Source organism: Homo sapiens, chromosome 2, assembly GCF_000001405.40.
Source record: "Homo sapiens chromosome 2, GRCh38.p14 Primary Assembly".
In the NCBI taxonomy this organism is placed as follows: domain Eukaryota; kingdom Metazoa; phylum Chordata; class Mammalia; order Primates; family Hominidae; genus Homo; species Homo sapiens.
In genome coordinates this window covers 15737520-15760009 of record NC_000002.12, presented here as the reverse complement: position 1 = coordinate 15760009, position 22490 = coordinate 15737520, and the positions used below count along the sequence as shown (strand labels likewise).

Below are 22490 nucleotides of genomic sequence, written 5' to 3'. Positions count from 1 at the left end.
GGTGGATCGCTCAGTCTCCTTGAGCTCAGGAGTTTGAGACCAGCCTGGGCAACATGGCAAAACCCCATCTTTACAAAAAAGTCTAGCTGGGCATGGTGGCATGCACCTGTACTCCCAGCTACTCTAGAGACTAGGGCCTGGGAGGCAGAGGTTGTAGTGAGCCGAGATTGCACCACTGCATTCCAGCCTGGGCAACAGAGTGAGACCCTGTCTCAAAAAATAAAAAAAAAATTGCAGTTACCATACAAAAACAGTATACCTCTCAGCTCACACAGTTTCACTGTTTTAAATTTTAAACACAAATGAAAACTCTGTTCACATGAGGGGTAGAATGAAGAACCCAAATTATGTTTCTTTGTGTTTACAATCCGTGTGCTGTTGTTTATTTTAAATGCAGTGTTTAAATTCAGTAGTATGTAGTTCCACAGGGTTGGAGACATGATCTGCACCAAGCAAGCTCAAAAGACTTTGAATCATCCTAAACTTATTTTCAAAAGCAGCACAGTCAGTTTAGCCCACATGTGTTGAGGGGCCAATTATACATGAGAAGTCTCCAAATTAACTTCTGCAAGGAATACAGTGTTTACTAAAAGATAATTAATTTAAAAGTTATTTATATATATATACACACACAGATATTTATATCTCAACAAAAAGAAGTGTTCCCTGTTGTTTGTATTTTATTTATTATTTATTTATTTATTTATTTATTTTACCATGAATGGTACTTCATGTAAAGTGTTAGGACAAAATAAGCACTCAAAAAAGATTGAGCTATCGTGTTATTAAAAGTCATACCGAGAATCAATAGACATTCTTGCTGAATTTCTGCAGAAGGAGCAGAATGTTGCTACTGATAATAGCTAAAATGTATTGGGCACTTATCTCCTGCCAGCCAGAGAGTCTCTCACTTAATTCTTAAAATAACTGCCGCACAGATGAGGACGCTGCACACAGGGAGACTGAGTCATCTGTGTGAGGCGATGCCATGGGCTGGTGCGGCCCCACCGTGCCTGTGCTGTGCTGGGCACCTGACCTCCATGGCCACACTTGACCTTGGTCACCACTTGGCCACACTGAGCTCCCATCTGGTTGTCAGATGGGGACTGTCAAGATCTGGGGTGTTGAGAAATGGACCCAAATCCCACAGCCAGCAAGAGCAGAGCTGGGGGCTCATCCCACACGGGGTGGTGATGAAGTCTTTGAAGGTTAAATGAGTGGAGGCCTTGAGACCCTGCTATCCAACCCTGTGTCCTCATCAGCTCAGGTTGCCACTACAACATACCGCAGACTGGGTGGCTTAAGGAGCAGAAATTAATTTTTGCCAGTCTGGAGGCTGGAAGTGCAAGGTCAAGGTGTCAGTGGGGGCGATTTCTCCTGAAGCCTCTCTCCTGTGCTTATGGGTGGCCACCTTCCCGCTGTGTCCTCACATGCTCTTTCCTCTCTGCGTTCTCATCCCTGCTGTCTCTGGTGTCCACATTTCCTTTTCTTATAAGAATACCAGTCCGATTGCCTTAGGGCCACCCTAATAACCTTATTTTCACTTAATCACCTCCTTAAATGCTCTATCTCCAAATATAGTCCTGCTCTGAGGTACTGGGGTTAGGGCTTCAATGTATGAATTTGGAGGTGTGCACAATTCAGCGCAATACACGCGTATCTTCACCATGAAGGTGAGTGGGGCCCTGAAGCTAAGAAAAGCTGGGGTGGGAATCCAGGCTTCCAAGGCATCCTTCAGTGCTCCTTCCATCCTGGGAATCTTCTCCAAAAAGCCACCAAGCTCCAGCCTCCCACATCATCACTCCTTCCCAGGCTGACTTAGGTGCCAGCCACATTCCTGGGTGTTTGGCATGAACTACCTCACTTCATCCTCATGACACCACAACAGGCTGCCTCCTCTGAACAGCTTCAGAAAAAGACTGTCCCAAAGCACATATCTTGTTCCTCACTTAGAACAAAACAGGGCACTTACCTGAATGAGAGGTTCAGCCCCGGGTCAGCAGAATAATATAATTTTTCAATTCAACACATATTTATGAATGTCTCCCAAGTACGGGAACTGTTCTACGGGCTGAGGATACAGCAGTGAGCAAGGCAGACCACATTCTTACTCTGTAACACATTTTAGGGAGAGAAAGAGGCACTACACATAGGTATACACTATGATAGGTATTAAGAAGACAAGGCAGGGAAAGGCTAGAAAATGACAGGGGAGATGCTATTTCACATAAGGTGTTCAGAGAAAGCTTCCCAGACAAAGGGTACGTTTGAGCAGAGACCTACATGAAACGAGGGAGCAGGCTCAGGAGCTAGATGGGAAAATGGTGTTTCAGGCAGAACGGGCAACCAGTGCAAATGCCCTGGGGCTGGAATGCACTTGTATCCTGGGACAGGAAGCAGGCAGGTGGCTGGAGTGCGGCGGCTGAGAGGGAAGGGCGGTAGAACGTGAGCTCAGAGGGGTGTGGGGGCCTGACAAGGAAGGGCTTTACAGGCCATCGTGAGGTTTGGCTTATGTTCTAAGTCAATGGGACATGAGCCCCGTTTTGACCAAATGTTATGATCATCTGATTTACATTTACAGCCATTAGTATCCTCCTTCTTTTCTCTGCATACCATCTCAATACTTTTTGCCCATTTTTAAAAATTGGAGTGAAATTCACATAGGATAAAATGAACCACTATAAAGTAAACAGTCCGTGGCACCTTATTCATTCTCAGTGGTGTGCAATCACCTCTATCTTCCAGAACATTTTCATCACCCCAAAATAAAACCCCATACTATACACTAATATGCTAAGCAGCCATTCCCCATTCTCCCACACCTCCACCAGTCCCTGGCAACCACCAACCTGCTTTTGTGGATTTACCTATTCTGCATATTTCATATCAATGGAATCATACAATCTGTGACCTTTGTATCTGGCTCCTATCCTTTAGACATGTGTGCCTCATTCACCTACATGGTGGCATGTGTCAGCACTTCATTCCTTCATTCCTTTTCATGGCTGAATCATATTTCATTGCACATTCATTGTGTGTTTGTGTAAATTTACCACAGTTTGTTTATCCATTTATCCATTGATGGACATTTAGCTTGTTTCCACCTCTTGGCTGTTGTGAATAGAGCCGCTCTGAACATTCATGTAAAATACTTGTTCTCCTGTTTTCAATTTTTTCTGGATATATGCCTAGTAGTGGGATTGCTGGGTCATGAGGCAGTTCTATGTGTAAATTTTGAGGAACTAACAAACTATTTTTCACAGCAGCTTCACCATTTTATGTTCCCACCAGCAGTGTACTAGGATTCCAGTTGCTTCATATCCTCAACAACACTTGTTATTTTTCATTTTTCGTCTTTTAGACAATTATTATTATCATTATAGCCATCTTAGTGGGTGTGAAGTGGCAGCTTATTATTGTTTTTGGTTTGCATTTTCCTGATGACTAATGATGTTGAACGTATTTTCATGTGCTTTTTGGCCATTCATGTATCTTCTTTGGAGAAATGAGTTATTTTCTAAAAGCATCACTAAAGGCTATTGTGTGGCAAGCAGGTGGGGCTGATGGGTGGGTGGGATGGGGTGGGGGTGTAAGCAGGGAAGAAGTTAGGAGGCCTTCAGAGAGTGTGTGCGGGCTTTGGCCTAGGGGAGTACTAGAGAGGGTATGACGTAGGTAGAGTCTGGAGCTATTTAGAAAGTAGAGTTGATGAGTTTGGAGTGACTGCTCCACCTCACTGGGACAGTCACTGTGCCATCTTCTCTATTAGACTATCAGTTGGGGCTGCAGCAGGGCAGGGAGTCCATCCCAAGGACAAATTTCACTCCTCACCTCCATTGCCAAAAACTAGAAACCAGGCAGAACTAGGTGCTAAGGGGAAAGAGAAAATGGGAAAAGGGAAGACTTCTTGAACTCTCAGCAGGAGTACAGCCCTAGAAGCAGCTTTGTCAAGCAGTAAAACTCAAGAGATGTCTTTGCAACTGTGTTGGTTCCTTCTGGCTGCTATAACAGAAATGCCTTAGACTGGATAATTTCTAAACAGTAGAAGTTTATTGCTCACAGTTCTGAAAGCTGGGAAGTCCAAGATTACAGTGCCAACAGATTCAATATCTGGTAAAAACATGTTCTTCATAGAAGGCATCCCCTATGTGTCCTCACATAGCTGAAAGACGAAAGGGCTAGGAAGCTCTTTCAGGCCTCTATTATAAGGGCACTCACTTCATTCATGAGGGCAGAGCACCCAAATGTTTAACAAATATAACTAGTATTACTGTTGTTGTTGTTGTTATCATTATTATTATTGGGTGGATTGAGGTCCTTGGAGAGCTTCTGGTGACTTCTGTCTCCTTCAGGGCCAAGTCCAAGCTTCTCAGCAAAACATCTAAGTCCTCCCATGATCCAGCTCCTGCTGGCATCTCCAGCTTCATCTGTCATGATCCCTACCTCATACCCTACACTCCAGTCATTGCTGAGGGTTTCCTCGCTGCTGCAGGTCACCAGGCTTTGCACAAGGCAACCCCTCTGCCTGAGCACTCACCACCCCCTTTGAACCTCAGACACAGCTTCAGTGTGGTATCCTCTCCAAAGACTTCCCTCATTGATTCCTTCATTCAGTGAAAGTTTGCTGAAATCTACAGCGTGCCAGCATTTTCCAAGTGGCGGTCAACCTGACCCAGACATAGGTTAGTACTCCCTTCTTTGTGCTACTTCTTTATTTTTATTCCTTCATTTTATATATATAAGAAAACTGAGGTCTAGAGAGGGCAGGTGACTTAAGCCAAATAACAAATCAGAGGAGCAAGGAAGATGGGAGCTGGCCAGGAATAACCTCTGGAATCACACAATCCTTGATTGCAAGCAACTAGAAAATGGTGCCGACCCAGGGTTACCAGGCGGTTGTTGACAGCTCCTGATTTTTCATCCTCCTTGGAACCTGGATGCAGGATTTGCAAGGAGCTGGGGTTATGATGCCTATGCCCCACCTGCCTCTGGCTCATGTTTGTTATTATTCCTACATTGTCAGGAGCTGTTGTCCTATGGCCAGGAAACACATATTTCACACTTTGCTGGAAGGGACAAAAGAACTTAGGGGCCAAAAACAGAAGTCAGATTGTTATATTGTTCTAAATAAGAATGTGTTGAGTTGTTGCCAGAGATTCAGAGATGACAAGAATGGATATTGTGTATTTTGTGGCTGGAGAGTAAAAACATTTTTTTTGGAAGGTGTCCTGTAGACACTCCCTCCACCGCATATCAGGAAATAAAATGTTTCGGTTAACGTGCTCATGGCGTTGCGAGCTGGAGGCATGGAAAGACCACTGGGCTGTGAGGGCTGAATCTGAGTGGTGGAGGCCAGTCTGGGAGCCCAGAGGCCCTGGTCAAGCCCCAGCAACACCACCCACTCTCAGGCCATGGGACCCAGCCCAAATCACCTCCCTTCCCCTGGTTGTAAGTCCCTCAGCACTAACTCACAAGGAGAAGCCGGGAGTTCTCCCAGCACGGCCTCCATGGCAGCGAGCTGGGCAGGCTGGCCCAGTGGGGACTCAGGGAGCATGTGGACAAGAGCTTGGACTGAAAGACCCACACCCAAAAAGACGAAGGAGCAGCAGATGGCAACACCCCATGATGATGAGGCATCCAGCATCCTAGGATGCCTAGGAGGCACCTAGGAGGCACCCAGAACCCTACGATGGTGAGGCACACAGCACCTTACGATGACGAAGCACCCAGCATCCTACAATGGCGATGGTGAGGCACCCAGCACCCTGTGACATGAGGGACCCAGCACCCTGCAATGGTGAGGCACTCAGCACCCATCATGGCCTTTCTCCTTCTCAGATTGAACTCCTGCAGTCAGTAGTTTCCTTGCAGTTGGAAATTTCCAAAGTGTTTTCAAACTAAGTATCCCATCTGAGGCTCTCAGGCACTCTGGAGGACTCTCCGGGCAGAGATTTTATCGACTCAATTTTTCCCGTCAGCAAACTGAGGATCAAGGAAGCCAGGCCTGCCTGCCCTGTCCTCCTGGTATCCCTCCATGGCCTCTCTTGCACAACTTCTGGGTATGCAAAGAAGGAGACATGAGCGCTGCCTCCTGAAGTTCACATCTTGCTGTGCTGCCTGAATGGGGGTAGGAGACTTTCGGGTGATGAATACGGAGAAGCCAAGAAGGGCGACTGCTCAACACCCTACAATGTTACAGAATGTTACAGGCACTTAGACAGAGGGTCCAACCAACTCCTGCCCAGCGTAAGGACTTCCTGACTCAGTGGACAGCCCATTCTCTCACTCACTAAAGATCAGATCCTCCTGGTGCCTCGGGGTGTAGGGGACAGAGGAAGGCGGCTTGGTGGGGAAGGGGATGGAGAAGAGACCTTCACCACTGTTGAGATTTAGGACAAGAGGTAACCAGTTCACTTCTTCTGAGGATGGAGATTTGATCACTCAAAATGACCTTTTTTTCTATCCTAAATCAAGGCCTATTTCCTTGGTGCTATCCAAAAAGCGTCAGGGTTACTAGAAATTGATTTTTTTTTTTTTTTACTTTAAGTCAAAAGAACGATTGTAAAAATGAGAGTCTCCCAATACTCAGCACTCTTTATGTGCAGCCACTGTGCCCAGTGCTTTAGAAGCCACAGCTCGTTTAATCCCCACTTTGGGCCTATGAGGCAGAGGAGAGTTTTGTCCTCATTTTACAGTTAAGGAAATGGATGTTTAGAAAGAAGCACATTTTGCACCCACCAGAAGTCGAAAGTTATACTCCTTTATTCAATGTTAGAAGTAGAAACATTAAACAAAATGTGCTAATCTCATATTACCTTTTGATTTTAATAGATTTGATTTTCTTAGGTTCACTGCAAAATTTAGTAGAAGGTACAGGGACTTCCCCCAGCTACTGTCCATTTTTGAGTCCAGAGAAAACATTTCTACAGCCACTTCCTCTGGTGAGTGAGGTGAGCAAATCTTTCCACAAAGTCAATCCTCCAGATTACTGATATTTTTCCATATGAAGTACTAGGCTTTTATATTTTTAGCCACTTGTCTTGGTAATATAAAATGAAAGAAAAGAACCTAAACAGAGACTGAACACTTCAGGGCAGGTGCATCAAGGAGGAAATCAAGAACCAGGTAATATAAAATGGATTGTAAACTCTCCTGACTTCTTTAACAAACTACGTGGAATACCCATGACTTTAAACAGACTTTAATAAATTGATGTTGTCTGGAAGTATCACATTGTACAGGCCAGTTGCCCCTGCACCAAATGGCCCCAATTTTCTTTTCCAGGTAACAATTCTGTTTTTATTTTTCCCATCTCCTCTCTCCCCAAGCTACTGCTTATCAGTTCCATTGCTCAACGCATCTCCAATTGCTACTAAACCATTATTTACACTAACAAGGGGAAGAAATTATGTTTCCCAGAAGAAACCAGTTACTCAACCTGATTAAGTCAGTAATTTTCCCTTCACGCAGAATTCTATGCCACCAAACTCTTAACAAGAAAGCCCGACGTTGGTGCATATCTGCTCATGAAACATGCATGTGCTTTCGGAAGGCTACTTTGTGTGTTACCCGGGTGCATTTTCTGCCTGCTTCTGGGGTGATGGCTGTGCCTGAGAGTTAGGAAGTTCCTATACCTGACCGTCCCATAAGCAGAGTGCTGATAAAAGTTTCAATTGTGCAAATTGCCAAACTGGCTAGGTAGAAGTGGGAATTATTGGCGTGTTGGCCCTAGGCATGCACAAGAGGGAAATGAATGCAGGATTGGATCAGAGAGGCAGGGCTGGTGTGAGAGGCTGGACTGTGAACAGGAGAACTTAAACAGAGACTGAACACTTCAAGGCAGGCGCATCAAGGAGGAAATCAAGAACTAGGAATCAGCAAAGGCCACCTGAGATGAGGAGATAGAAACAAGAGAAATCATCTAGCATTCTCTCTGCTGGGATGTGTCTCGCCAGGGAATGTTATCAGATCACCCTCCTTTTGGAGCAGAAAGGCCGTATCTAGCTACATAGGTGCCTGGGAAGGCTAATATCAAATGGCTCAGCAATATGGTGCCTTTCAAACCAACAGTCTTTAAATATATGTCCAAAATTTACTTAAAGAGGAAGTTACTGAACAATGCATGCAGGAAGGGCAGAGAAAGTGCTCCAGGGGTTTCCATGGCTCTCGTCCATTGAGCCTAACAGTTCTGCTCAGGCCTTAACTTGCATTACCATTCAGCAAAATAAAAGTCCTGCAGTTCACCAGACCCACTCCCTCAAAATGACAATTTGTTTGAGTATATCTCTTAGAGATCTCACCTCCTCACCTTTATCCTAAATGGCTTCTCAGGTATCCCTTTACTCTACATTCCCTCTGAGAGGTGTCCTGGTAAACACAAGTGTCTCCATTTGATTGCATTTCCCATGTTTTTGAGCCCCTTCTAGATTGGTGCCCTAGACAGCTGTCGAGCTGTCCCACCCTCAGTCAGCTCTTGTGGCAGCCAAATGCAATAGTCTAGTGGCCTTTCAAAGGTGACAACTCATTTCTCCCCCCCACCCCCCACACACTCACATCTCTAGCTAGAATATATTCCCCAGTGTTTTAAAAGAATGAGCTCCTTAAAATTATTTAATCCAATCTCTGGTTAAAGAGCAGAAGGCACATAATCTCCAATAGGACAAGACATTTGTTCAAAATCACACACAGGAAATTGTAGAGCTAGAATTTGAGCCCAAGTCTGCCCATGTTGTGAGCTGCCACTGTCCCATAGTGTCACTGGCATGCCTTGGGACATAGGGAGGCATGGGAGAGCTGTTAGTAATTTGCATCTGCAGTGCCCAGTGTAAAGGAGGTAGCCCCAGTAACGTTTGCTGGATTGAATGAGTCAGGTAAGGTGAGGCCTGAGTCTCATGGCTGAGAAAAGGCAGGACTGGGGCACAAGGCCATGGCTAGGTCCCGGCCTAGGATCCCAGGCTGGAATCCTGTCAATCCCTCCTCCCTTCAGTTAGGCCTCGTCCTGGATACTGGGTCTGGCTGGGGCTCACTGGCAAAGGTTATGGGGCCCCAGCCCTGGAATATGCAGGGCAGTAGGCTGGAGGCAGGCAGGGCCTATACTTGTGAGCTCATCCAAGAGGAAAAGCTATAAAGAGGTATATTTTGGTTCAAAACAGAGAAGAGTTTAATAACCATTAAAAAACAGAATGAGCAAGAAATAGTGAGCCTCCCATCATCAAGGGGTATGTAAGCAGAAGAACATAGTGGAAGGCATCCAGGCATTGAGGTTGGAGTAAACAATATGGAAGGTCTTTTCTCTCTCCGAGAGTCTGCGGCACTTTGAAAAGGGAGAGGTGATTGATGGTTCCCAAGTGGAGATGGTTCTTTTCAGGACTGCCCTGGCTGCTACTCTGAGTTGGTTTCAGGAACTACAGCCTTGCTGGGGGAGGGAAAACAGCATTTTAAAAGGACCATTGCACCAGGAACTATACGTGGTCATCCTTTACATATGTTATCTTATCTAACTGTCACAACAATGCTGTGGGTGCTTTCAGCCTCTCCTGTCACATGGAGAAACTGAGGTTAAAGAGGTTAAGAAGGCACTCCTTGGATCTGAAGCTAGCAAGGGTCAGAGCCAGGAGTCAAACCCAGGCCCGCCCGACTCTGCAGCAAGTGCACTTTATACCACTGCCAGCAGTCATACAATGTCCTAGCGCTGGGCTTCCTCAGTGTCACTAAGGTCTGTCTCTAAGAGCGTGACATGTGGAATTGGAAACTGAGTCATCTACTTTGGTGACAGGTCCTGATTAATGTTGGGCTAATTTTAGATTTCCTCACAATTGCTCCTCTTAATATACAACAGCCTCTAAATATAATGTTGGCGAATGTTTTGTTTTTGTTTGATTTGACCAGAAAAAGGAGGACAGCAAAGGAGATGAGGTCATGGGTATAGTACCGTCCAGCCAGCACGCTGCTCCTTTGAAGGGCTTCAGAAAGCTGTGATAGGGACAACGGCAAGAATCTCCACTGCTTTTTCCAGCTGATATTCCAGGCTCGCTACCCCTAACTAGATGCAGTCTTTACCTCCCTGGTTGCAGAAAAGTAGAACCAGCCTGCCCTGGGCTCTCTGGTGTCTCTGAAGCATAATAAATACTTCCAGAACAGCAAAGTGTACACAGCACAGTGGCAGGCACATTGGAGGGGCGGGCAAGTCAGGCATGGGCACAAACATAACACCCTGGCACAGGCATGGCCTCCTCTTTCAGTTCCTTCCTGCCCAGCCATTTTCAGAAGTGAAATCGAGTTGTTTTCCCCCTTCCAGCCCTGCAGGGCCTTAGCCTGGGGTATTCAGCCAACACAGTGCTTAGCAAGCAGCAGGCATTTTGCACATACTGTGAATGGATGTATGAAAATGATCATGCCAGCATTACCTAGAATATTAAAAATTTAAAAGCAACTTATAGGTCCAGGCCAATTGTCTTTAAGGAAATCATGTGGTGCCCACAAGATGACAGTTCTTGCTTGTCCAAGTTCAGGATGGGATTTGAAGTGCAGCTGGGGACATTCTCCTCTGCATTAAAACAACAAACACACAGCCTCACCCAGCTACTTCATAAGAAACCCCAGCTCAGCCTCAGACTAGTTGTGTGACTTTGTGTGAGTCCAAGTCTCCCTCGGCCTCAGTTTCTTCATCCCTCAGATGGGGAGAAATACCTGCTTTTGGGGGACTGCCAAGAGGATTCAGTGAGAAATGCGAGTAGCTGTCTTGGCTTAAAGGAAGGCACTCCGGGGGCCTAGCCCAGGGCAGGTGAAATACCACAGACTATAGTTTTCTCCTCCAATTTGCAAAAGCTTTCTTTGTGAAAAGTATTAAAAGACATGAAAATGAAGTTGCATATAATAATAAACAAGGTGTCTTGTGGAAAAGAACCACCGCAGAACTCCATGCTGTCTTGGGAACTCCAAGGCTCCTGGCGGCCTTGTCTGGACAGCACTTCAGAGACCCTTGTGAAGGCTCAGCAGGCAGCGGACAAGAGCAAGAGTGGGCAGGGGAGGTCGAGCCAGGGGGCAGCCAAGAGGAGGAGCATGGGGAGAAACTGCTCCAGCCTTACAGCAGCCAGGAGGGGGCGCTGTTATTAACCCGTTTGCGGTTTAGGAATCCCAGGCTCATAAGAGATTGAGGCTTGCACAAGGTCCCACAGTTGCAGAGCCGTGGAAGTAGGAATTGATGCTTTCCCACTTTGCTGGCTGCTTCAGCAGCTCGGGTTCCGATGAAGTAGACTTCAAGGGCTCCCCTCCCTCCAAGACTTTTTGAAGACCTCTTTGGAGAAAGAGGATGAGATGGCTAAACTGTCACTCTCCCTTCTTTCCGCACGCAGCCACCATACGCCACCACCAGTGCAAGTGGCTGATGGGGTTCTTAGAGGGCCAAGGACATCAGAAACAGCAGCCTTCAAAGACCCTTGTGTCCAACCCACTCACTTCTACATTTGGGGAAACTGAGGCCCAGGGAGAGCGGTATCTGTTAGGATGTTTGATCATGAGATAAACAATCAGAAGTCCTGGGTTCCAGTCATGACTTTGCCTCTAACTCTCTGTTATGTGCCCTGGAGCTGAAGACCCTTCAGCCACAAAATAAAGGGCGTGGGTGAGGCAAAGTCCTCAGAGCCTTCCCAGCTGGGAAGCGGTGAGGCTGGACACCCCTTCCCCGTGCCAGGTCTCATCTGCAATGCATGTGGGTGGGTGCAGGGGGCCAGCGCCCTCCCTTCCAGCCCTGACAGGCCGCAAGCCTCCTCCCCGGACCACTCAGCCCCCACCCCACCCCCTGAGACAGAAAGAGGCAAAGCTACCTCTGAGGGGGCACAGTAGGCAGGTGCCCCCACCTCATTCTTCCCTGCCTGCAAGTGATTAGAGGAAAGATAACATTCCAGGGGGCTGAGGTGGGGAGGGGGCAGGAGGTGCAGATCAAGGCGCCCCCCAGCCCGCACCCTGGTCGGGGCCGGCTCTCTCAGCTGTCTGTCCATCACTGCTGCAGGCACTGCAGGGCCTCCCAGCCCTAGGAATGTTAGGAATCCCCCTCCCAAACTCTAGGGCCTCTCCTCTCCCGAAAACCTCCCCCTCCCCCCGCCCCAAGGCATCCATCAGCTCAGGCCTTTCTGGAATGTGCTTGCTCCTGGCACCACCAGGGCCCGGAAAAGTAGGGCTAATCCCTCCACACATTCATCACTCGTCTCCAGAGAGAGACCCCAAGGCAGGCCAGAGAAGGGTCTGCCCTGACCTGCCCAGGGGCCAAGATGGATGGCTGGAAGGAAAGACACAGCCTGGAGGGCGGGAAGGTGGCCAGGCAGGACAAGCCAAAGACAGAGCAGGAGGGCTGTTCTCCACATCTTGGCAAAGCTTTCATACTTCCAGAAATCCGGGCTTTCAGGAAATGCGGCTTATTTGAGGGTAAAGAGGGTAAAAAGAGTTGATGGGTTTGACTGTTGTTGAGGGAGGGGAATATATTCATAACAGTGGAAGAGCTGATGGCTCAACAGCTAGACCCTCCCTCTATAAGATGGCAAAAGCAATGTTAGCGTTGTCTCATCCAACAAGCCTTTGTCTCATTTCATTGCAACAGCAGCTGCCTGTGCGGTAGGTAGACAGCTGTGGTTCCCTTGGAAAGCCTTGCAGTGTCAGGCCTCCTTACCTGGCACATGCTGTTCCCCATGCCTTTCCCGCCCTGGCCCATGGGGCAAACTGTCCACAGTCAGTTCCCTCTTCCCTCAGGCTCTCGTGGTACTGTCCCTTCCCTCTGTCTCTGTACTTATCCCAGTGATTTGTCATTGTGTGAGCACCTGTATGTCTTCTGTGCTGTACAAAAGCCCCAGGAAAGAGCCACAAATCCCTTATAAACCATAAGACAGCCCCAAAGCTAACATTTCCTGACTGTGTCCCCTTAGCCAGTTACTAAACTCTCTGAACCTCCATTTCCTTATTTGTAAAATAGAGATAAAGACCTCTTCAAGAACTGCCAGTAATGACACCCTAAAATTGTGTCTCAAATATCTCATTCTGAATGAAGTTTAGACATCAGCAGAAATAATTGAAGGTTTGCACACCATAAAATAACATCTTTTAAAAGGTATGTTTCCTCATTTAATACCTGAACATTGGGCTATTTAAATTCCTTTTGTCTATGAGTACCATAAAGCTAGATCACAAAGAAAAATATATTATTCAGTCTTCACCCTTGACGTCTTTGCTTGAATTAATTAATTCAAGAAACATGTACTGAGTATATCTTACATGTCGGGCACTCTGCTAGGGATTTGGAATTCTGCAGTGAACACAATATGGTCCTTTTTCTCTAGGAGACAGATTCACAGACAGGCAGGTGCTGAACAGTGAGAAAAGTTCTTTGATGGGGAGAGCATTCAATTGGGAAAGGCCTGCAATCAAGACTGGTGTAGGAGGAAAGCATGCAAGGAAGGCTTCCTGGAGGAAGCAGCATTTAGGCTAAAGGCTGTATATAAACAGAAGTTTGCCAGGCAAAAGGTGATCCAGAAAGAAGGAACACAGAAGCCCAGAGAACCCTCCATTGCTCAAAGGAAGACTCCGGGGCAGAGCACCCCAGCCTCTCCCTTAAGCCTGCCTCAGGCAGGGCTGCATCTTCTGGGAGCCCTCCTTACACTTCAGCCCTCAAGGCAGCCCAGTGGCCAGGAGCACAACCTTCAATGTAAATCACCAAAATCCTCAAAGCTCTCTCTCTGGGCTGTTCCAGGCTAGGGGAGGAATGCAGGAAGGGTGGAGGGTGCACAGCCTTCAATAGAGGTAATTTTAGACTGCGTTGTCATGCCTGCCTGGGCCTCCCCTCAGCGGGGTCCCATCTGAGCTGGGAAGAGCTTCTGGTCTCCAGACCTTGAGAGGATGTGGCCTTTGGAAGGAGGCCAGGACAGCAGGATGGGAGGCCAGGCCGAGGCAAAGCCCTCAGCAGGGGCAGGACACTCGAGGTGGGGGCTTGGCACCTAAGCCTTGCTCTGTGAAAGCACCTTGCCAATGTCACTAATTCCAACAAGGCCCCACCTACTGATTCGGTGTCCTTAAAGGAAAGTGAAGCAGATCTAAGGCAGGATTCTGGGGAGGAGTGACAGGGGAGAGGCAGAGTCACCTAGGAGGGCAGGTGGCTCAGATGACCTCAGAAGCCCTGCTTGCAGAGCACCAGAGCCAGCTTCCTCGCTGCCCCTGCACTAGTTGCATGAGTTTGGACAAGTCGCTAAACCCCTCTGTGCCTCAGTTTCTCCATCTGTGACCTGAGATCAATAACAGTAATATCTAACTCACAGGGTGACTATGAAGACTAAAGAAGATCATACATATATAGGAATCAGCAGAATGTCTGGCAAAGACTAAGTGTTTCATAAACATTAACCATGATTTATTTATTATTAAGGAGCCACAAGTCAGGATCCCAACTCTCAGATTCTGGTTTCAGTTTTAATCCCTTTGGCTGGTCTCTCTTCCTCTCTAGGCCTGTATTTTACTGTCTGTAAAAGGAAATGTTTTGAAATAAACCAGCGGTTCTTCTCCAGGCACAGAGACAGGAGGCATGTCCATCTGGGGTAGAGGTGACTTTTCAGACTATAATGTTCTAGGCCACCCAGTCATCCCTTGGAGATCCTGATATGCCCCTCGAGCGATGGGAACCTCCAGGTTAAGATTCACTGTGTCTGACCAGAGACGGTCCTGATGGGAGTCATTGTGCAGGGAAATGGTTTGGAAACAGACACATGAAAAAGCTTGAAAATCTACCATGTGATCTGGATGGGCCCTCTGGGCAGGCGCTCTCTGAGAAAAAAAGATTGGATGGGAGTGAGGAGACCCAAGTTCTGGAACAGTTTTGTGACATCTTTGTAGGTAGCTGTGAATGGGTCCATTCACATAGCCTGTGTTCTTATCTCTAAGCAAGGAATAAAGCACCACCTGCTCGCAGCGAGATGCTCCTAGGGAGAATGCTTTGTGCCCTGCAGGTGCTGCACAAGCAAGAGGCCAGATTCCAGTGCCTGTAACCTGTGGTCCCAAGAAGTGAGCAGCAGAGTGGCCGAGAAAAGTGTCCATGTGTTCAGGCTCACCTGCATTCTCCCAGCTTTGCAGAGACTGCTCCCTTACCGTCCCCCTCACCACCCTAGTCTTTATCACCTTTCAGACCTTGGAATATCCTTGAAGCTCACTCAGATGTCCCCTCCCAGAGGATGCTTCTGACCCCCAATCTGACCCCCAACCCTTGCTGTAGAATGCCTCTCTTGAAGGCAAAGGGATAGCAGAGACTTTTTAGGGACACCCTTCTTATGGGTGGGAGAAGCCTGGGTATCCCACTCCCTCTTCCTCAAACCCTGTCTTATGAGTAGGCAGTCAGAAAATGAAGGGAGTCACGTGTTTTACTGCTGGGATCCAGCCATGCTTTAAAGGACTTGTGTTCAACCCAACACAGGTGGGCACAAATGTGATTTAGGGAAAGCAACAAATAGGGTTCTGGTTCTGAATAATATGGAGCAAGCAAACTCCACCTTGTCCCTCCCACTGAAAGCAATTATAAAACCTAGACAGAATGCAGGGAGCAATTACAGCAGAAGACTTCAGAACATCTCTCTCAGTAGAGATAGAACCAGTAGACGAAATCAGCAAGCATATTTGAAGAGCTACACAAACATCAACCAACTGGAGCTAAATGACATTTATAGAGTTATAGAGTACTTCACCCAACAACAGGAGGAAACACATTCTTTTCAAGTACACATGGAACATCCACCGAGAAATACCATATACTGGCTCACTAAAAAAGAACCATAACAAATGTAAGAGCATGGAAATCATACAAGGTACATTCTTTGATCATAAAGAAATTAAAATAGAAATCAATAACAGAAAGATAAAAGGAAAAACTCCAATTTGGAAATTAAACAATGCACTTATAAATAATCCATAGTCAATGAAGAAGTATCAGGGAGATCAGAAAATATTTTTAACTGAACATAAATGAAAATACAACATGCCAAAATTTGTGCTATGCAGCTGAAGTAGTGCTTAGAGGAAAGCTTACAGCATTAAATATTAATATAAGAAAAAAAGAGAAATCACACATCAATAATCTATAATTTTACCTTAGAAGTCTAAGAAAGTAGGAGAAAAATTAACCCAATACAAGCAGAAGAAAGAAAATAATAAGAATAAGAACAGAAATCACTAGAATTGAAACCAGAAAGCAGTAAAAGCAAATCAGTTAAACCAAGCTGGGCCTTTGAAAAAAAAAATCAATGAAATTTATAAACCTCTACCAAGACTGACAAAGAAAAAAAAAAAAGAGAGAGAAGACACAAATTACCAATATCAGGACTGAAAGAGGGGACAGCACCATAAACCCCACAGATATTAAAAAATATAATAAAGGAATACCATGAATATCTCTGTGCATATCAGTTTGCCAACTTAAATGAAATGGACCAATTCCTCAAAAACCACAAACTATGACACTTACCCGTGATGAAGTGGGTGACTTGACTAGTCCAATACCTACCAAAGAAATAGACTTTGTAGTTAAAAACTTTATCAAATAAATCCCCAGGCTTAGATAACTTCACGTTAGAATTCTACCAAACAATTAAAGAAATAACATCAATTTTACAACCACCATCTCTTTCAGAAAATAGATGAGAAGAGACTACATCCCAGTCATTTTATTAGGTTAGCATCACCCTGATGTTAAAACCAGATTTTAGAAACATTAAAAAGCAAAACCAGAGATCAATATCCTTCATAAACATAGATACAAAAGTCTTCAAAAAATATTTGCAAATTGAATCCAGCAATATTTTAAAAGAATAAAGCACAGAAACCAAGAGGTTTTTACTCCAGAAACACAAGGCTGGTTTGATATTCAAAAATCAAGGGGCCAGACACAGTGGCTTATGCCTGTAATCCCAGCACTTCAGGAGGCTGGGGGATTCGCTTGAGCCTGAGAGTTCAAGACCAGCCTGTGCAGCAGAAGGAGACCCCATCTCTACATAAAATTAAAAATCAGCTGGGTGCTGTCATATGCACCTGTAGTCCCAGCTACTTCGGGGGTTGAGATGGGAGGATCATTTGAGGCCAGGAGATCAAGGCTTCAACGAGCCATTATTGTGCCACTGCACTCCAGCCTGGGCAACAGAGAGACCCCATCTAAAAAAAAAAAAAAAAAAAAAAAAAAAAAAAAAAAAAAAAAGGATGTTAGTTAGGGTTTTGCTCTCACCTGTGGGTGGTAGGTGGGGTGGGGAAGGGGATCCTCTTCCAAACTGAGTAGCTGGGACTTCAGGCATGTGTCACCACACCTGACTCCTAGCTGATACCTTGATTGCAGCCTGGTGAGACCCTGAACAGAGGGCCTAGCTAAGCCAAGCTCAGATTTCTGACCCATAGGAAATGCGAGGTAATAAACTTGTGTCATTTTCAGCTGCTAAATTTGGAGTATTTTGTTATACAGCAGGAGCAAACTAATACAGTGAAAGACTGCTTTCCTCCTAAATTGGAAATAAGGCAAGGATGCCCACTCTCGTCAATCCTATTCAACATTGTACTGGAAATCATGGGCAGTGCAATAAGGCAAGAAAGAGAAATAAAAGGCAAACTAATTGAACAGAAAAAAAAAGCAAAACTGTCACTATTTCAGAAAATGTGATTATGCAGGGCCACAGGATACAATGTCAACATACAAAAATTAATTGTACTTCTAAATACCAGCCATGTAAACTTGGAAATTGCAATTTAAAAACAAAACCATTGATATTAGCTCCAAAACAAAGTAAATACTTAGGTGTAAAACTAATGAAATTTGTACAGCCAACCCTCTATAACCATGGGTTCTGCATCCCGTGCAGAACTACAGATTGAAAGTATTTTAAAAAAAAAATTCCAGAAAGTTCCAAAAGCAAAACTTGAATTTGCCATGAGCCAATAACTATGTTGAATGCCTATAAAAGAAGTTACATATAGGTATTGTATTCAGTATTATAAGTAATCTAGAGATGATTTAAAGTACATGGAAAGATATGCTTACATTATATGTACATACTACACCCTCTTATATGAGGGACTTGAGGATTCTCGAATTTTGGTATCCAGGGAGGGTTCTGGAACAAATCCCCCACTGACACTGAGGGACAACTGTGGAATCTGTATGCTAAAAACTATAAGATGCTGATGAAATAAATTTAAAAAGGCCCAAATAAGTGGAGAGCCATACCATGTTCATAGATTGGAAGACTTAATATAGTAAATTTGTCCATCATCCCAAAATTGATCTATATTTTTTAACACAATTCTAGTCAAAATACCAACAGGATTTTTTATAGATACAGGCAATCTGATTCAAAAATTTATAGGGGAAGGCAAAGGAACTATAATAAAACAATCTTGAAAAAGAAGAATAAAGTCAGAAGAATCACTCCATCCAACTTTAAGACTTACTATCATTTTAACAAGTGGGGTTGAAACATTTGCAAACCCATATGTGAAATAAATGCATTTTTATTAAAAACGTCACACCTTATTTTTTAAAAATACTCAAAATGTATCATACATGTAACGTGAAATGCAGAACTAGAATATTTAAAGGAGAAAACAGGATAAAATACCCATGACCTTGGATTAGGCAGAGAATTCTGCTGAAAGAAAAACTTGTCAACTCAGAATACTATATCCCACAGAAACAACCTTCAAAAATAAAGGGGAAATCAATACATTCTCAGATAGAGGAAAATAAAAAGAATTTGACATCACCAGATACTTTAAAAAATAACTAAAATAAGTTCTTTTTCTTGAAACACAAAGAGATGGTAAAAAAAAAGAAATTTGGGATATCAGGAAGGAAGAATGAACAATAGGAAAAATTAAAATATGAGTAAATACAATAAACTTTCCTTCTCTTCTTGAGTTCTCTAAATTGTTTGACAATTGAAGCAAAAAGTATAACATAGGGCAGATTTAAGTCCTAACATAGCAATAATTACATTAAATGTATGTAGTCTAAATACACCAATTAAAAGAGATTGTCAGAGAGGATTAAAAAGATATAACCTTATTATTCCACTAATTATGAGTGTAAATAAAGCTGATTTCAAATGGTCACATACTGTATGATTCCATTTATATAATATTCTCAAAATGACAAAATTATAGGGATGGAGATGAAATTAGTAGATGCCAGGGATCATAGTGGAGAAAAACATGGTGGGTGTGACTAGAGAGGGCTGCATGAGGGAAATCATGTAGTAGTGAAATAGTTCTGTATCTTGATGCCAGTGGTGTTCACAGAAATCTATGCATATGATAAAATGGCATAAAATTATGCACAGCATTGCAAAAATATCAGTCTCCGGACTTGGTGTTACACTATAGTTCATTAGATGTAACCACTGAGGGAAACTGGATAAAAAGGCTACACGGGACCTTTTCCTACTTTCTTTGCCACTTCCTATGAATCTATAATTATTTCAAAATAAAAAGCTAAAAACAAAAGGACCCAGCTAGGAATGTGAAAAGAGAAGCTACAAAGTGGGGAAAAAAATTGTAAAACACATATCTGAAAAAGGACTTTTATCCAGAGTATTTAAAAACTCTCAAGAGGCAATAGTAAAAATACAGACAACCCAATAAAAAATGGGCAAAAGATTTGAACACATACTTCACCAAAGTAGGCAGCAAATCACGAATACCCAGATTTTTATGAAAAAATGCTTAGTATCATTAGCTATAGGAAAATGTGAGTTAAAACCACAATGAGATACCAATATTCGTGTATTATAATGGCAAATACTAAAAAATCCTGACCATACCAAGTGTGGGTGAGGATGCAAAGCAACTAGAACTCTCCAATACTTCTGGTAGGAATGAAAAATGGTGCAACTACTTTGTAGAATAGTGAAACATATATCTGATGTTAGACCCAGGCATTCCACTCTAGGGTATACTTGGGAGAAATAAAAGTGTTTGCCCACACAAAGACTTGTACACCAATGACTGTAGTAGCTCTATGCATAATCATCAAAAATAGAAACAATTCAAATGCCCATCAACAAGAGAATGAATAAATTCTGGTATATACATACAATGAAATATACTCTGAAATGAAAATTAATGAATTAAACACACAACAATGTGAGTGAATCTCAAAATAATTACGACGAATGAAAGACACCCCCGATGTCCCCCAAAATGCTTACTCTATGATTTCATTTACATAAAATTCTAGAAAATACAAATTAATTTACAAGAATAAAAAGCCAATCTATAGTGGCTTAGGGGCAAAGAAATGGAGGCAAGGTATACAGGAAATTACACAGGGCATAAGAAACATTTTGGGGGTGATAGGTATGTTTGTATCTTGATTGTGGTTGTGATTTAGCAGATATATAAATATGTCAAAAACATCAAACTGTACTCTAAATATGTACTGATATTGTATATCAAAGAGACCTTAATAAAGGTTTTGTTTAATTAAATATTTTAAAAATTAGAGAAAGCAGTTTGAACAGATACTTCATAAAACACATGAAAAGTTGCTCAACATTACTAACCACTAAGGAAATGCAAATCAAAAGCACAGTGTGATACTACTGCATACGTTAGAATGGCTAAAATAAAAAATACTGACAAGGATGCACAGCAACTGGAACTTTCACCTGTTCCTGGTAAAGAGGCTAAAATGGTACAACCACTCTGGAGAATGGTTGGGCAGTTTCTCATAGAGTTAAAAAAACACTTCCCATAGGATTCAGCAATACCTCTGCTGGGTATTTATTCAAGAGAAATGAAAGCTTATGTTCAACACAAAAACCCATACATGAGTGCTTATAGCAGTGCTATTCGAATCACCGAAAACTGGAAACCACCCAAATGTTCTCTAATGGGACTGGATGAACAAAGCAGGGTGCGTGTGATGGATACCACTCAGCAATAGAAATGAAGGAACTATCCTACTCAGGAGGCTGAGGCAGGAGAATCATTTGAACCCGAGAGGCAGAGGTGCAGTGAGCCAAGATCACGCCATTGCACTCCAGCCTGGGTGACAGAGTGAGACTCAGTCTAAAAAAAAAAAAAAAAAAAAAAAAAGAAATGAAGGAATGAAGGAACTATTAAAAACCCACCACAACATGGAGGAATCACAAACACGTTATGCGGATTGAAAGAAGCTAGTCCCAAAAGGTTACAAACTGTATGTTTCTACCTATATGAGATTCTCAAAAAGACAAAACTACAGTGATTGAGAACAAATCAGCAGTGGTGGGAGTAGGGGGAGTGGTGGTAACTAGCAATGGACAGAATGAGAAAATTTGGGGATGAAGGAACCATTCCGTTTTCTGACTGTGGTCATGGTCACACACATCCATACATGTGCTAAGATCTATAGAACTGCATACACACACAAACACAAGATCAACTTTGTATACTAATTTACAATGAAAGAAAATAATTAAAAATTGAACTATATTTAAAAGACAGCAAGCAAATGAAGTCATTCTTTCCCGTTAGTAAGCGAACACGCTAGAGCCACTTGGTCCTCTTTATCCCAGCCAAGCACGCATAGTGTGGAATGCCATTGCAGGTCTTCCCCAACAGTGTTTACTAAAAAAGAAGAGCTCTGTGATTTGAGAGCTAGGAAAGCAGAAAGCCTCATGGGGAGCAGCAAGTGGAGAATACCCACGGGGAGGAATGTCCTGCAGGCCCCAGACCCCCAGAGGGGAGACACCTCCTGCTGCCTGTGGCTTTATCTGCACCGTATCATTTAATCCGCACAATCTCAGTGAGGATGAAGTTGTGATCCTCAATTTACAGATGTGGAAATTGTGGCTCGGCATGGTCAAGTCACATGCTGAAGGTCCTACCACCAGTAAGTGGCAGAGCTGGGATCTGAAGCTTCATCTGGTCCCTAAGGGCATGCTCTTTTCTCTACAAATTGGTTGCTAGGCTTGGCTACCTATAGAATCCCTCGGAGTCCCTTTTAGAGACGTTGATTCCAAAGCCTCATTCTAGGCCTACTAAAAGACAGTCTCCAGAGTGGAGCCTAGAAAACTATACTTTAAAAATTCCCAGGTGATTCTGATATGTCTGCAGTTTAATAGGGACCAACGATTGGGTGGCACTACCCTTGGGTCCATTCTCCCTCTTAACCAAGTCATATCTAAACTTCAGGCCAAAAGTCCATCCTGCCTTGTTGCTGTTAATGGATTAAATGTCACACCAGCTTTGCCCTAGAGGCCACAGTACTGCTCAGGGAAACAAGCCCAACATTTATTAGCTATGCAATAAATTAATTCTCTAAGTCTTGGTTACCAGATATGTCAAAAAGCATAGTACTAATACTCTCACATAGTTGCAAGGATCAAGTGTCATGAAGATGCTTCATGAGATTTTACACAATTCAATCATCTATCAAACATTTATTGAGCATCTGCTCTGTGCCAGACATTGTGCAAACTACTAGGGTACAGAAATAAGCAAGGTCT

At 43.9% G+C, this 22490-nt stretch overlaps 1 annotated feature.

Annotated features, from left to right (window-relative positions):
- Nucleotides 13766–13927: a silencer, noted in NCBI's record as "fragment chr2:15886207-15886368 (GRCh37/hg19 assembly coordinates)". NCBI's record gives its function as "represses an EF-1alpha promoter that drives an FKBP-Casp9 reporter gene in an ReSE screen in HepG2 liver carcinoma cells {active_cell/tissue: HepG2}" and the evidence as "EXISTENCE:reporter gene assay evidence [ECO:0000049][PMID:32094911]".